This window comes from Homo sapiens, chromosome 8, assembly GCF_000001405.40.
Source record: "Homo sapiens chromosome 8, GRCh38.p14 Primary Assembly".
In the NCBI taxonomy this organism is placed as follows: Eukaryota; Metazoa; Chordata; class Mammalia; order Primates; family Hominidae; genus Homo; species Homo sapiens.
This window is the reverse complement of record NC_000008.11, coordinates 22,749,798-22,765,303: the sequence shown is the minus strand read 5'-3', so window position 1 is coordinate 22,765,303 and position 15,506 is coordinate 22,749,798. Positions and strand designations below refer to the sequence as shown.

The following is a 15,506-nucleotide window of genomic DNA, read 5'->3' as shown; positions in this document are numbered from 1 at the left end:
GGTGTGGTGGCACATACCTGTAGTCTCAGCTACTCATGAGGCTGAGGCAGGAGAATCGCTTGAACATGAGAAGGGGAGGTTGCAGTGAGCCGAGATTGCACCATTGCTCTCCTACCTGGACGTCGCATCAAGATGCTGTCTCAGAAGAAAGAAAGGAAGGAAGGAAGGAAGGAAGGAAGGAAGGAAGAAATAAAGGAAGGAAGAAGGAAAGAAACTGAGGACCCGGTGACGATGCGATGGGAAGAGGTATGAGAGAGGGAATGCTTGGCTCAGTATCTGGCAGAACCGCGATTTGCAGGACCCAGGGCAATTTGGAAATGTGGGGCCCTGCCTGGGACAGGGGAAGTCCATCCCCTCCTCTCTCTGACCCACTGGTCCTCATGGCCAGGGGCATCCCCAAGGATTGCAACCTCCATGCCCAGATGTGCTTGGAACCTGGATTGGGGGTGGGTGAGAGGCCTCTGTCAAATCATCCACTGAATGTTGCCATTTGGGGACAGGAGTGACCAATGTTTGTCCCACTCTAAGATGCCATGGGGTGTATGACCGATCCCCACTCTGCACCTGCACCCAGGCTCCCACAGAGAGCAGAAGGTGGCAGCAGCCTCAGAGTAGGACCACGGGTCAGCCAGTTGAGGCTCCAAATCCCCACCACACACTCCATAGTCCCATGATACTTCACTTACCAAACACACATTCCAAGATGAAATTACTAGGAACTCGGCTGCGAACACTATTATAATATATATATACATAAAGGCCTTCAAAGCACAGGGCATTGGGCAACTACACCGGTCACATGCCCACAAAGCCAGCCTTGGTCCCTGGGTTTTGGCTGGCATACGCGGTGCACAGTGAGGCTGCCAGCTAACTTAGTGCACCCTGAAGCGTTCACAGGTCAGCAGCTCACACCTTCACATATCAAATAACACCTCCACAGAGAGTAACCTGGACTTGAAGAGAGACCCTGGAGGAGGTGGAGATCAGCATTGGGAGAGAAGAGTTTATCCTTCTCCATTTTTTCAGGATAGAGGGTGTGTGTGTGTATTAGATTCAAGTGTGCAGAGCTTTTTTAAAAAACAACATACTTGGGACCACTCTAACCCAATAGAATCCCAATCTCCTGAGTAATGGGTGCTATAGAGTATGTGTGAGTAATGGAAGCCCAAATTTGCTGCCATTTTTTCTTCATCCTTGGTAAATTTCTTTGGATGATTTCACATAAGGAACATGGGCCAGGAAAGGCTTGACATCATGTTAAGTGAGGAATATGTGAAGAAACTGATGAGCGTTTCCCCTGGGGAAGAGAAGCTCCGAAGACAAATTACACGTCCTTCTGGAGTATGGGCTCTTGAAAGCAGGGACCAGGTCTTCTTCATGGCTCTCTCCACACCTGGCATTATGCACCTGGCATCCAGAGACCACCTAGCAAAACTGTGCAATGAATGAATGAAATAGTTGAAAGCAGTCATGTAGGAGAAAAATTAATCTTCTTCCATGGGGCCCCAGACAGAACTACAACCATGGTAGTTCTTGGAGGTGAGATAGTTCTTTCATGGTAGTTGTTTGGGGGAGAAAGAGCTCGGTTGAGAAGGCAAACTTTCTAACAATAATGATAGCTAACCTTAATTAGCCTAGTAGGCTGGGCACCTCTTACATATATATTACCTAGCCTCATCCTCACAACACCCTGTGAGGCAGACACTCGCATTGTTCCCATTTTGTAGATATGGGGGAAACAGAGGCAAAGAAATGCTAAGTCTCTTAGCCAAGGTCAGAGATCCGGGAAGTGGCAGTGCAAGATTCGAAGCTACACGCTCTAGGGCCAGCATTCACTGCTCGTAAACACGTACTTTAAACCATGAGAGCTACACAGTGATGATCTGACCGCTGTCGGGGATTGGAGGCAGTGTCCAGAGCCAAGAATGAACAAGTCTTTGGTTGGGGATATTGTGGAGTGGGATTCAAGAAGAAACCCAAGGGGTTTAAGACTTCTTCCGGCGGGCAACAGTGGCTCACACCTGTAATCCCAGCACTTTGGGAGGCAGAGGTGGGCAGATCACCGGAGGTCAGGAGTTCGAGACCAGCCTGGCCAACATGGCAAAACCCTGTCTCTACTAAAAATACAAAAATTAGCTGGGTGTGGTGGCATGCACCTGTAATCCCAGCTACTCGGTAGGCTGAGGTCGGAGAATCGCTTGAACACGGGAGGCAGAGGTTGCAGTGAGCCAAGATCATGCTACTGCGCTCCAGCCTGGGAGAGAGAGCAAGACCCGATCTCAAAAAAAAAAAAGACTTCTTTCAGCCCTCAGAAAAGATGCTGCTGTCATTTTATTCCTTGGCCCTTGGTCGTTCTTGTGTAGGAAGAGTTGCTTGGAACTTCTCTGTCTGAAGTGGACACTGGTCTAGGAGTCAGGAACCTGGAGTCCAGTCCTGACCGCAGGCAGCTCTGTGATGTTAGGGGACATGCATAGCCCCTTTCAGCCAGGAATCCTTGGCTGTAACACAACGAGCAAAGGAAATCTCTGATGCCTTCAACCCCAAGACTCCACAGTTCTTTGATTGGAGTGGGGAGGGAAAGAGAAAGTCACAGTTGGGGAGAACATGGCCCCACTTTGCCACTTACGGAGAAGTAATTCTACCTCTCGGAGACTTGCAGTCTCTTTTCTCTGCAACGGCATGGGAATTGGAGGCCTGACCGAGAAGAAACCAGATGGGTCAATATCATCCATCCCCAGGGAACTTGGCTTTTTCCTTTCTTCAGGATTGAGAATCTGAGAGCCTAGGACATCTCAAAATTGACCTTGCTTTTTCTCAACCATGGGCAAAAGCTAATGTCAGAAAGACCCAGAAAAACTGATGGAGCAGAATTCTGGCTACATCTGTGGATAGGCATTTTGAAGGAATGCTCTTTGGCACATGGTTTTCCACCCTGTGTTGCTTTTCTAGATATATATTTATATACATATAAATATCTCTTTCCCTGAGGGACAAGGAGTCTCAGCCAAGAGGGAATTCAGTGTGATCTGGTAGAATTTGTTGCAAAGGAAATTCACTGGGGTGGGAGGTAGAAATTGTGTATTCAGGACATCACCTGGTTAATAAAATTTGCACAGCTCCCCAGAACACATGCGATTTCTTTTCTTTAAATTAATGAAGGGTATATTGTTTCACCCATTTTTTTGCCGATTTAAATTGTGATTTTTTTTTCTGGCACAATAAGCAAACTAACATAGGGGTTAAATAATTTGTTAAAAGGTGGGGGTTAGAAAGTAGTTGGGGTTTGGAAAAGGGGGCTTGTGGGGGAGCTAAAATCTGCCAGTAGCAACAATAAATGCAGAGTTATGCCTTAGGCATAATATATCAAAGAAAATATAATGCATCCAGCTTAAAACTAATGATTGCCATATAATTAGATGAGAAGCATTGTGCTATAAATGTGTATTCTTTAGCGTGCTGTGATTTTACTGTAAAAAAAAAGAGAGAAAGAGAGAGAGCGAGAAAGAAGGAGACAGAAAAACACAGAGCCCAGCAACATACTATAAAAAGAACCCTCTGTTGACTTCTCTACTGTTTAGTATTCCTTGGCTGTTCTCTCTTGGGAGTGTGTAATTAGTACTTTATGAAGAGTACATTTAAAGCAGTTTAATATTCACCTCATTCAATCTGAAACAATGTGATCCATGCTTAGACAAATCAGTGCTCCTTGCTGACATAATCTGTCAGAACATTACCTCTGAAAAGACCTTTCAAGAGGTTTGGATGTTAATTAGTTGTCTATCATGTATAAACAGAGCAGTGAGCAGAAGGGGCTCCGACAGGCCAGAGGGATACGTTGGGAAATGCATTTTGTATGAACACGGCTTGCAGGGGGGTCTTCTCGCTCTCTCCGCCTTCCCCGCCTCCCCCCAGCCTCCCCTCGCCATGTCAGGAGCCACACATGCTTTGGACCTCTTCCGGGCAAGATAAGGGCTTTCCGGTTGGCATCAAGGGGCGCCCCTGGCCCCCAGAGGGGACTGTGAATAAGGCTAGAGGGGTTCACACACACACAAACACACACACACACACCCCACCCCACAGTTCCCCGGGGCAGGCCCACCTGCAAGATGTGATGGCTGTCTCCTTTCAGGTCTGAGAAGCATGACCTCACAGCCCACCTGTGCTTGCTGGGGAGGCTCCAGGCTTTGGGGCCTGGCAGGGTCCCACCTCCTGTGGGCCATGGGCAGAGGGGGCCAGGAGGAGATGGAGATCTGATGCCCGCCTCCCCGCTGGCCCTAGAGCTCGCTTCCTCTGGGAAGTCAGGCTACTATGACAGAGTCACAAGGTGCAAGAGAGGACTAATGCACAGGGCAACTGGTGTGCGCGAAACCTCCTTGAACACCCTAGACCCAAAGAATGCCAGCAAGGCTCAGAGACACGTTCAAGGTCACCTGGTCTAGACCTCGCCTTCAGGGGAACCTTTGCCAGAGTTCATCCTACGAGGACTGAGGTCTAGGCTCTTCCTATGTGAGTTAGTTGTCTGGGGGTTTGCACAAGCCTTCTCGTATTGTGGACTTAGAATGCCCATGTCTGAAGCACTTGCTAGCATATTGAAGACGCTTACTAAGTAGTAGCCTGGGGATTCCAAAATGGCATGGTACAGGCCCTGTAGGAACCACTTTCCTTCCCAGGCCTCTGGAGCCTTCTCCCTGCACCCACCACACACACACGTTGTCCACTCAACTGCCCCCCCTGCCATCCTCCCTTCCCTGGCCTCAGCCACCCCACCTTCCATCAGCAGCCTCAACCCCCATGGCCTCTTCATTCACTGTTCATCCCATAAGCATCCACCAAGCACCTACTATATGCATTGTACTATGTGCTATGTTCTAAGGCAGCAAAGATAAATAAGTCATGGTCTCTGCTTGTGAGGCGTTTACCAGACCCATAAACGTTTAATTACAGTCTGGGGCAATTTTAAGTCATGTAAGGGAGGCAATATAATTTAGTGGTTAGGAGGGAGGGCACCGGAGTCAAACTGCCTGTGTTCACTTCCCAGTCTCACCACTCAACAGCTAGGTGACCTTGGGCAGGTGATTTAACTGCTCTAAGCCTCAGGTTCCCTGTCTATAAAATGGGGGTAAGAATATCCACCCCATAGGTTTGTAAGTATTCAATGAGATAATGCAGTGAGGTGCCTAGCACAAAGCTTAGGGTGTAATAAGTGCCCAACCGATGTTTGTCCCTGAAAATAATGCAACGATAAGAGCACAATCAAAATGCCTGATAACTGTGCCTAGGTAGTCTTGGAAGGCTTCCCAGAGGAGGTGACATCTGAGCTGTGTTTTAAAGGACCAAATAGAAGTTTACCAGGAGAGAAGTGACAGAAGTGCTGTCTAGATAGAGGAAGGGCACACACAGATGCAAGCATGTGCAGAAATGAGCAAACCACTGAGACGCTGCCTTGAGCTCCGTGTCACACTGCTATGTTGCAGCCTGGGAGGCTGTTCCCAGTTGAGCCCTTCGGAACCAGCCATGAGACGGCACGGGTACGCGGAAGGGAGCAGTCTCCATGGCTGGGTGGTGATGGGGGCTTCTCGAGGAACTACATAACTTCTCTCTGCATTTCTCAAAAAGAAAGGAATCAAGATTGCAACCCCCTTGGCCTGGGTATCCTACTGCAACTTGAACCCATGGCAGAGCCAGGCTCCCGGGGAGGTGGTGGGGCACAGAGGAGGCAGGACCACTGACTCCAGCCAGTTCTCACCCCAGCTGCAGCCCCGCAGCCCTGAGACGGAGCGGGCACCTCTACCCCTCATGGTGGCAGAGGCTTGTTGAGAGGATGGGTGCCAAGGTGCACAAAGATCCGGCCCAGCGCCCGATATGCAGAAGGCACTTGGGACATGGTTGCTTTCATTATTATGGGGAGAGCTTACTCCAGTCCACCCTTTGTTGAGGAAAAAAAAAAAAAGGCTGTCCTTCTCTAATGTTTCACTTGACAAGAAGCCAGGACTCAAGAGGACTGGGTACTCCCCGGGTATCCTCTCTTGGCAAAGCCCTGGGCCTCCCTGGGCCTCCGTCTATGCGGGGTCTCTTCTAGCCTCAAAGACTCCCAGCCCCCACCCCTGACAGCAACAAAGTCAGTGTTGGGGCCCAGGTCTGCAGCGCCTCACGTCTACCCCCACCTTTCCCTGAGCCCACCAGACTGCTGTGGCCACTCTAGCCACCTGGGATCACTCCCCCAAGGCCAGCAGAGCCCATCACAGCTGCCCAAAACAGGTAAACAGCTGTTTCCCATGGCCCTCCTCCCACCCTCGCCCCCTCCCTGCAGATGGTCCTCCCCTCCCCTGGCTTCCACTTCTCCATGCTCTGCCAGTGTGCACTGACCAGCTCCTGACATAAGCCCCGGACTTCACTCCTCTTTCTGTCATGAAACCCCAGCCTGGGGGCCTCTCCCTTCCAAGGCAAGGCATTGGCTCCCTGATAAAATATCCCAAGCCCTAGGAAAGCGCTGTCCACCCCACCATACTGCGGACAGGGTGGGCCACCCCTGGACCCTGCATTCTCATGCTTGTTGGACAGAAGCAATGACATCAGCTCCCATCTGCTGAGAGCCTGCTATGGGGTACATGTTATTCTCATGATAGCCCCTGAAGTAGGCATCATTAGAATCATAGGGCAGACCATTAAACTAACTCCGGGGCAGGCCAAGTGAGTGGCCTAACAGCATACAGCCAGGCAAGTGCAAAACTGGGCTGCGGGCTTTTCTGTCCATTTCCAAACTCCCACCCACCCACTTTCTACCAGGTAAACCGGCCCCCTGCAAACGACAGCCCACAGGCCAAATCAACCTATTTTTGTAGGGCCTGTGAGCTGAGAAAGGTTTTTGCATTTTCAAAGGGTTATAAGAAAAGAAACAAACAAAGAACATGTGACCAAAACCATATGTGGCCCACCAGGCCTCAAATATTTACTACCTGGGCCTTTCCAGAAAGTTTGCCGAACCACGGGGCCACCCAGGAACATTCAGTACCAGGCACTGGGTACCACAGACACGAAGTGAAAGGGTCACCGGAGGGAAGATGGATGGATGCTCAGGCCATCCTTCTATGTGACCCACCAGCTTCAAAATCATTTTCAAAATAGCGTTTAGTAGAGATGAAATCAGGCTACAGAGAACACCAGGAGTTTCTTTGCAGGCTTCACAGCTTATGATGAAATATTTCACACACAATGTCTCTTTCATGGAGTTAGAGTCCCCATTTTTTGAATGAAAAATGGAAAAGCTGAGAGCTAAAATGACTAACTTAGGGGCCCCTGGTGAATATCCTCCCCAGGTCCCATGACCTCAAGGCCAGTGTTCTTTTCATCGCACCTGCGGCTGCTCTGGCCCCCAGGGCATCCGGCCAGGGAAGCTGGGCACAGAGAGACCAAGAGCAGCCCAGGCAGGGCTGCAGGTGGCCGGGTAGGAGGTGGAGCCACTGCGGTGACCACTCCTCCCAGGCCACCCTGCTCTTCTCATACGGATTGAATTTATATGCATCTCGGATTTCTGTTTTCAGCACAGGCCCAACTCTCTTGGAGCTGTTTCAGCCACTGAGTCCCAGTACCCCAAGAGGAGTACCCCAATTGCTGCATCTTAGGGGTGATTCTAGCTCACATCCAGGAGGCTAAATAACTGTCCCCGAGGGCAGGGAAGCCTGATTTCCAGTTGCAGCTCTCCCGCTAGCTGGCTGGATGACCCAGGGTGGGCCAGCATCCCTCTCTGGGCCTCCCTTTCCTCCCTAGGAAGCAGAGTTAACGATCCCCACCCTGTCCTTCACCCCTATGGGACTCTGGGAGAGGGAATGAGGTCATGTCTGTGAGCTGCCTGGAGGAAGGAAGCGGCAGGGGGAGTACAAGGTAGTATTATCTTCTGGGTCGAGCTGGGCAGTTGCCATGAAGTTGCTGAAATGTGTAAGCATTCCAACGACCTCGGGAACCTGTCGTGGGAATGTCATGGGAAGGCAGTGTGTCAGAACTGGCTTGGGCCTCCGAGTCACCGTGGTGTGAGTACAAACCCCAGCTCAGCTACTTCTCAGCTTTGGCAAACCACCCAATGGCTTTCAGCCTCAGTTTTCTCACCTATAAAAAGAGAATAATCCCAACCACAGTTTGGTTGTTTGGTTAAGGATTTTAAAAGATGAACCCTGGCATATGGTGAGCACTCATGATGACGACTGCTGTGGACCTGTTGTCTTGTCAGGACACCTCTTTGTGTTTCTCCATGAACTGTCTCCAGATAAATGCAAACGTCCTCCACCTGTGCCCTTTCAGGGAGAGCCTTCTGCAGTGGGGATAGCTGGGCGTTCTGAGAGCTTCCTTTTGAAAAAGAAAAATTAGAACTGAGGCAATGAACACAGGCCTTTTCCCCAGCATCATCCAGGGAACCTGCGACCCACAGGGCCAGGGGTCCTAGGTCCAGAGACTGAGGGAGGTCAGGTACTCCCTGGGTCCCTTTCCCCTGGTAAATGGTGGAGTTTGGCCACCACGATTTCCGAACTCAACAGTCCCAGCCTTGGCAAGCCGAAATTCCCAGCCTGCCAGCAACCACTTTCTTCTCCCTTACCCAGGAGCAAAAGAAGGGCCTCAATGAGCCCCCAGGCAAGTGGGTTTTTGTACAGACAGAAATGGACAATCTGCTCCTGGCATCTTTTTAAGGCAGGAAGGGATGCAAAGATTGGGGGCTGGACGCATCTAGAAAAGGCTTGCTTCCCCAAGCATCCCCAGTCCACGTGGGGAGGAGCATGGGACAGTGGTGGAGGTTGGTGGGGCTGGGGCCAGGGCCAGGGAGGAAGCGGAGAGATGCATCCAGCAGAGGGTGTGAGAATCAGCCACAACTGGCCGAGACTGTCGGAATTAGTCACCAGTGTTGACGAGGAGTTCAGTCGGTTACATAACAGCCTCCCTCGCTCACTGTTAGCTCTCCTGAGCTGGGGCTGTCCGGGGTTAAGGGTCTCTGGCAGGGAGGGTCACATCCTGGGAGCCCAGGGGCAGAGGTTCTCGCACAAGCCCGCCCTCCCCAGTCCTGCTCCAGCCCTGCGAGGCCAGAAGGAGGCGCCAGCTGTTCAGCTCCTGCCTGAGTCTTGCCACCTTGTCTCCAGACCATCCCACGCTAGCCTCGCAAGGCTGTCGCTCTGGCCTGAGCACAGAAGATGCTCAGACAAGGAGTTAAATATGGGTCTCAGCTCAGGGCAGCTCAGTAGCCAACTTCCCCGCTGAATCTATTATGATACATCATTATAATGATTATTATCAATAAGTATTTAGCGAGCACCTTTAGTTGTGTCCCCGTTGGAGGCATTGCAGGAGCTTCAAAGATGAATAAGATGCAGATGTACGGCAGCAGCAGGAGCTTGGGATTGCAATGCTTTTCCTCCAGAGGGGAGAGCGTGTTCAGAGAGAGGGACTCTAAGCAAGTGGCTCCGTTTTCTGAGTGAGGTCAGATTGAAACCCTGTGCAAAGGTTGGCACAGCCAGCCTCAACCCCAGATGCCCAGGATAGGGCGGGATTCTTGAGGCCAGTTTGCTTGCTGATGTACTTACCCACTGCACATGGCTGAAAAAAAAGAACAATAAATGTCTAACATTATCAGTAATGGATGGTGATGATGATGACAAAAATGATGTTAGAAAAGAGTATACAATTTTGCCCCAGCACGGTGGCTCACGCCTGTAATCCCACCACTTTGGGAGGCCAAGGTGGATGGATTACTTGAGGTCAGGAGCTTGAGACCAGACTGGCCAACATGGTAGAACCCCATCTCTACTAAAAATACAAAAATTAGCTGAGTGTGGTGGCGGGCACCTGTAATCCCAGCTACTCAGGAGGCTGAGGCAGGAGAAACGCTTGAACCCGGAAAGCAGAGGTTGCAATGAGCCGAGATCACGCCACTGCGCGGCAGCCTGGGTGACAGAGCATGACTCCGTCTCAAAAAAAAAAAAAAAAAAAAAAAAAAAGAGGGAGAGAAATGAGTATACGATTTTGGCCCAAAGCCCTGGGAACTTCAGCTCTTCCTTCCTGCCTATTGGCATTTCTGTTACACTCCGCTAGATAATAGAAAGCCAGGAGCAGAAGCTTGAGAAACATTTAAGAATCACTCAAGCAGATCTTTGGACTCCAGGCAAGACTCAACTAAATCATCCAAGAAGAGTCACCGTTATAGCAGCAGGTGAACTCAGGAGTGGTTTCGAAACCCGGGAGTGGAATAATGGCCTCTTGGGCCCTTCCCCACTTTCCCACACCTAAGTTAAGGGAAAGCCCCAGCCCAGGCTCTCAGGAGACAGTAATAACCACCAAGGGCCATATTCCCTCCTCATTAGCCTACCAGATTCACAGTAGTTAAGAGCCGGAAGGAGTCTCAGTCCAGCCCTCCCATTCTATAGATGAGAACACTGAGGCCCAAAGAGGAGAACTGACTCACCCAGGGCCACACAGCAGAGATGGGTCTCAAACTCCCACATCCTTTCATTGCACTGTGAAAACCAGAGAGAGGTGAGGGAGGGGAGAGATGTGGGGAAATTATCCACCTCCTGAGCCTGCAGAGGTCTGTGTGATCCATACTCCCTGCCTAGCTGGCTCAATATCAGGCAGATGACAGCTTCATGTGGAGGGAGACCAACCGCCCCAAGGAGGCCACACAAATGGCCATGAAGCCAAGTCAGGGTGTGCAGTTTCTAGAATGAGCCTTTCCTCTCTGCTTTGCTCCCTGAAAAGAGCAAAAGGCTCTCTCACTTCCAGGCCTGCTGGCAAATTTCTGATGAGAAATCTACTCCAGCTTCTAACTCCCAAAGATCTCCCAGGCATCTACTTGGGATAAGCTTTCCTAGCAATTTTTAAAGCCAATTAGAGAAAAATTAAGGAATTAAATAGAAAAATTTGTGTTGGTTAAGGTCATAAAATCATTCATTCACTCAACACACGTCTACAGAGTGAGGATTCAGTCACAGAGACAAGGTCTCTGATCTTAATACACCCGCAGTCCAGTAGGTAAGGTAGAAAAATGAGCAGTTATCCCAGGGACTTTCACAACTACGATGTAAGATACTGGAAGCACCAGGAGGGAGCACCCTGTGGGTGGGGCGGCCAGGGGTCTAGGGCAGCTTCCCAGAGGAACAGACATCAGACCCTGGGGCTTGGAGAGCCGCTGAAAGCCCAGAGCCCATCCTGAGAAAGATAAAATTTGATCTGTTTGCTTCCATTTTCCACTTTCTCTTCAACCCTCCTCTCCCTCCATCTGAACATACCCCATCAGCAACCCTCGTTCCTGCTCTATAGTCAGACTTTCCCATCTTCTTCCCCATTTGGGACCCTCAGCCCACACCCTCAGCCCACACCCTATCAAACATGTAGAATCAGCAGAGGTTGTGGGGAGGGGCCCCACTCACACCCAGACAGATGTGCTCTGTTCCCCGCACAGCTGTCCAGGCGGTAGCCCATCTGCGCTCACTTCCTGCCTCCCAGCTCCAGCCCCTCACACCTCCCACACAAGGGCGGGGAAGTCTGGTCCTGAGATTCATCCCAAAGCCAATGTTGAGGCGGCCACCAGCCCGGCAAAGCCCCAGACCCTGGCTCCCACCTTCCCCTCTCCTCCACAAGGAGTGGTGGACCAGGAAGGGCTTCAGCAAGGTGGAGACTTTGCCTAAGCCACTCTGGAGGACTCTGCCTTGAAGTTCAGCTTCAGTCTCTTGGCAGTTGTGGGAGCTGCCTAGCTCTGAAGTTCTCCCAGCATCATGTGTCCACATGAAACACGCCAATATCACTGATCTGATTTCATTATTTTGTCAAGATTAAAAGAAGGCTGCTTCACTCGAGCCAGCTATATCCAAGGGAAGAAAATTATATTTTCAAGAGAGTTTGAGGCACAAATCTGTCCCACCTTGATTGTTGTCTCCTTGTCAAAGTTCATGCGGCCCCCAGTTTCGATGCTGGAAGGTGGGTTCTGCATTACTGAGAGATAGTTTCTGGAAACCTGCTTGTCTCTGGGATGCTCACAGCTCCCTCCTGACTCCTGAGCAGGGAGCATCTATTCTCTAAGAATATAGGGATGGTGCAGGCAGCTGTGTGGTTCCCATGGAATGAACACTCCTTAAAGGCAGGAATTATTAACAGTGAGACTATTAATTTTTGTATCCCCTGTAGTACCCAGCCCTGTCTCTGCACCTGGTAGGCACTCGATCAATGTGCGCTGAACTAAGCTACCAGGATACTTCCCTGACCACACACCTGGGCCAAACAGGCAAGTGAGGAATCTGATTAACCTGCTCCATTTGCCCTTAGGAAACTCAACTTGGGCAATGGGGAAAAGAGGAGACATAGCAGGAATACGTCTCCAGCCTGGAGAAGGGATGGGGTGGTGAAGGAAGGAGAAATTGGACTGTAAAATTAACGGGCATCCCCAGCTAAGCCCACAGCCTTTTCTTGACTATCATGTCCTAATGCATGGGGAGTTAGGCAGAAAGATGACGACCTCTTCCCTTTTCCTAGAAACAGAAATGCCCTAGGAGTTTATGCAAATTCTGGAATCCTGCCTCTCCAGAATAATGGCATTGCCTTGGTGGGAACCAGCTGCTGCAGGCAGAAATGAGCCCCCAGAACAAGGGCTGGGGCCAATAACAGGAGCAGAGAGCTAGCCCAGACTTTCTGGTTGCAAGAGGAGATTCCCTTCCACGATGACTGATTGTAAATGAGGAGCATTTCTAGTTCACCCCACTCTCCCCACGGCATACACAGACACGCGCAGTCTTGGTATATGACTTTGGGTGAGAGGCAGTGCAGGTCCTTCTCCCAGGCTGGAAACCCGTTAACCAAGGGTGTGGATTTGGGCCTTTTGGATTGCTCCCTTAAAGTGAGCTTCCACAGGGTCTATGGCCAGGCAACCGTAGACTTAGTTTGCTTTATTTGGTAAAGTATCTAAGAAAGAGAAGTTCTTTCACAAAGGCATTCATGTCACCTTTTTTATCCATTTTACAAATCTGGCCACTATGGTTGTGACAGAGACCCTGAGATTCAGGTCCCAGCCTGAAAACACCCATCTCCTGATAAGCCTGAGCCTAATGTAACAGACAGGGAGGATGGGACCAGACAGGGTGGCTCACGCCTGTGATCCCAGCACTTTGGGAGGCCAAGGTGGGAGGACTGCTTGAGGCCAGGAGTGAGTTCGAGACCAACCTGGGAAACAGCAAGACTCCAACTCTATAAAATATAAAACTTTTTAAAAAAATTAGCCAGGCATGGTGGTGTGTGCCTGTAGTCCTAGCTACTCGGGAGGCTGAGGTAGGAGGATTGCCTGAGCCCAGCAGGCCAAGGCTGCAGTGCGCTATGATCAAACCACTGCATTCCAGCCTCAGTGCCAAAATGAGACCCTGCCTCAAAAAAGAAACAAAAAGAAAGAGAGGGTGGTTGAGTGGGTGGCTGGTGATGAGAAGAGTGGGTGACTGACAATGGGAAGGCAGGCTGATCTGCCAGCAACAGGCAGAGGCCAAGGGCCCCATCCACATCTGGGGCCTCTGAGGCAGGCTGCCTGGCAGAGGAGACTGCTTTGTTTTAGGAACAGTGATTTATGCTTCTTGTGGTTTCAGTCAAGAGCAACCCAAAATGTTCTGTAAATACAAATATATAGACGCACAACACACACACACACACACACACACACAGAGACACACACACACACACAGACACACACACACACACACACAGACACACTCCTCCTTATCCAAGTCAAAGCCTCCTGTTTCAGCAGCCCAGCAATGATTTGGGGCCTCTCTATCTACCACCGATTTAGGAGAAAGGGAAAATCCACATTGATACATTCACCTAGATTCCTCCCTTAGTTCATCAAGATAGGGAAGACCTAGGGTCTCACACGTGTTCCTGGACATCAGACCCAAGTTTCCCAAGGCAACCAGGATTTGCAGGGAAGAAGCAGAGGTTTGTTCCGACCACCCCCAAGAGTGGCAGGTTGTCTTGGGAGCCCTAGAGCTCACGGGTCTCTCCCAGGCATGGCAGCATCTCTAGGTGTCTGACTTGAGGGCCTCTTCCTCTGCTCTCCTACTCGTGGGATCTTAGTTCCGAGTGGTCACCCTTGCCAGCCCCAACCCTATCCAGAAGCACGGGGCTTGACCTTGGAGCTCCTGCAGCACGGATTCCCTGGGACAGATTTCACAACCCAGCACTGAGTCTTACCACAAGTTTCAGACAAAGAAGGTGTGTTGGAGCCGAGAGCATGCTTCTGCCCGCTGCGTGGGCGTCAAGTTCAATGCCTTCTTGTCAACACTTGAATGTGTTGAACATCACTCACAAGGGCATTCTTTAAGAAACCTATTAAGTTAATTACCCAGGCATTTTTTTCTCTCTCTCTCCCCCTATCCATGCATCTCATATAAAAAGAAATTTGGCTTTCTTCCTCTCTGAGATACTTTTGATGTAACTCTTCTCCCCTCGGCACAATAACATCTTGTTTATTTCTCTAACAGTCAGTCAGGGTGGCTGCACTGTACAGACTGACCCCTTTGCTCAGGTCTTAGTTCCGAGAGGGAGCTGAGAGAGAGTGAAGCTTGACCCTAGGGATGGGGAAGTGGCCCATCTGACCCCCTCCTTTCTAACTGCCCAGCCAGAATGCAATCACAAGGATGAGAATAGTCAAGGAAAAAAAACAAACTCCCACGGGATATTCCCTTCCTTCCCATAGAAGGTGAAACAGGAGTTACCCCAACGGGCAGATCAACAAGTACCTAAAAAGCACCAGCCATGTGCCCAGAACCATCCACCTTGATTTTGGAAGAAGAAAAAATTCTGCCCAGATAAATTTTTTCCAATTCCAGCCCCATGCACATCCAAGCCCCTAGGAAAATGAAAGCATTAATGTATCATAAAGAATCACAAACTGGCTGGGCGCGGTGGCTCACGCCTGTAATCCCAGCACTTTGGGAGGCCACAGCGGGTGGATCACAAGGTCAGGGGTTTGAGACCAGCCTGACCAAAGTGGTGAAACCCCGTCTCTACTAAAAATACAAAAATTAGCTGGGCGTGGTGGCAGGCACCTGTAATCCCAGCTACTCAGGAGGCTGAGGCAGGAGAATTGCTTGAACCCGCGAGGTGGAGGTTGCAGTGAGCCAAGATCACACCACTGCACTCCAGCCTGGGCAATGGAGCGAGACTCAGTCTCAAAAAAGAAAGAAAGGCTGGGTGCGGTGGCTCACGCCTGTAATCCCAGCACTTTGGGAGGCCGAGGCAGGCGGATCACATGAGGTCGGGAGTTCGAGACCAACCTGACCAACACGGAGAAACCCCGTCTTTACTAAAAATACAAAATTAGCCCCACATGGTGGCACATGCCTGTAATCCCAGCTACCTAGGAGGCTGAGGCAGGAGAATCGCTTGAACCTAGGAGGCAGAGGTTCCAGTGAGACAACATCGTGCCATTGCATTCCAGGCTGGGCAACAAGAGCGAAACTCCATCTCAAAAAAAAAAAAAAAAAAGAATGACA

General features: G+C 50.4%; 1 protein-coding gene and 1 long non-coding RNA gene across 4 annotated transcripts in view, besides 1 other annotated feature; one reads left to right on the top strand and one right to left on the bottom strand.

Annotated features, from left to right (window-relative positions):
- Positions 1–15,506, top strand: part of PEBP4 (phosphatidylethanolamine binding protein 4) — a 227,827-nt gene that overhangs the window by 175,774 nt on the left and 36,547 nt on the right. The window lies entirely within an intron of this gene.
- On the bottom strand, positions 6,912–15,498 carry LOC107986925 (uncharacterized). 2 transcript variants are annotated; one of them, XR_002956696.2, is made up of 4 exons: positions 10,442–14,572; positions 9,564–9,576; positions 9,296–9,473; positions 6,912–8,340 (listed from the first exon to the last, which is right to left on the bottom strand). It is a non-coding gene; the product is annotated as an uncharacterized LOC107986925 (long non-coding RNA). The 2 variants fall into 2 exon arrangements; XR_007060852.1 differs by having other exon boundaries at positions 9,296–9,576; positions 10,442–15,498.
- Positions 10,132–10,241: an enhancer, noted in NCBI's record as "active region_27096". NCBI's record gives its function as "activates an Ori minimal core promoter by ATAC-STARR-seq in GM12878 lymphoblastoid cells {active_cell/tissue: GM12878}" and the evidence as "EXISTENCE:reporter gene assay evidence [ECO:0000049][PMID:35858748]".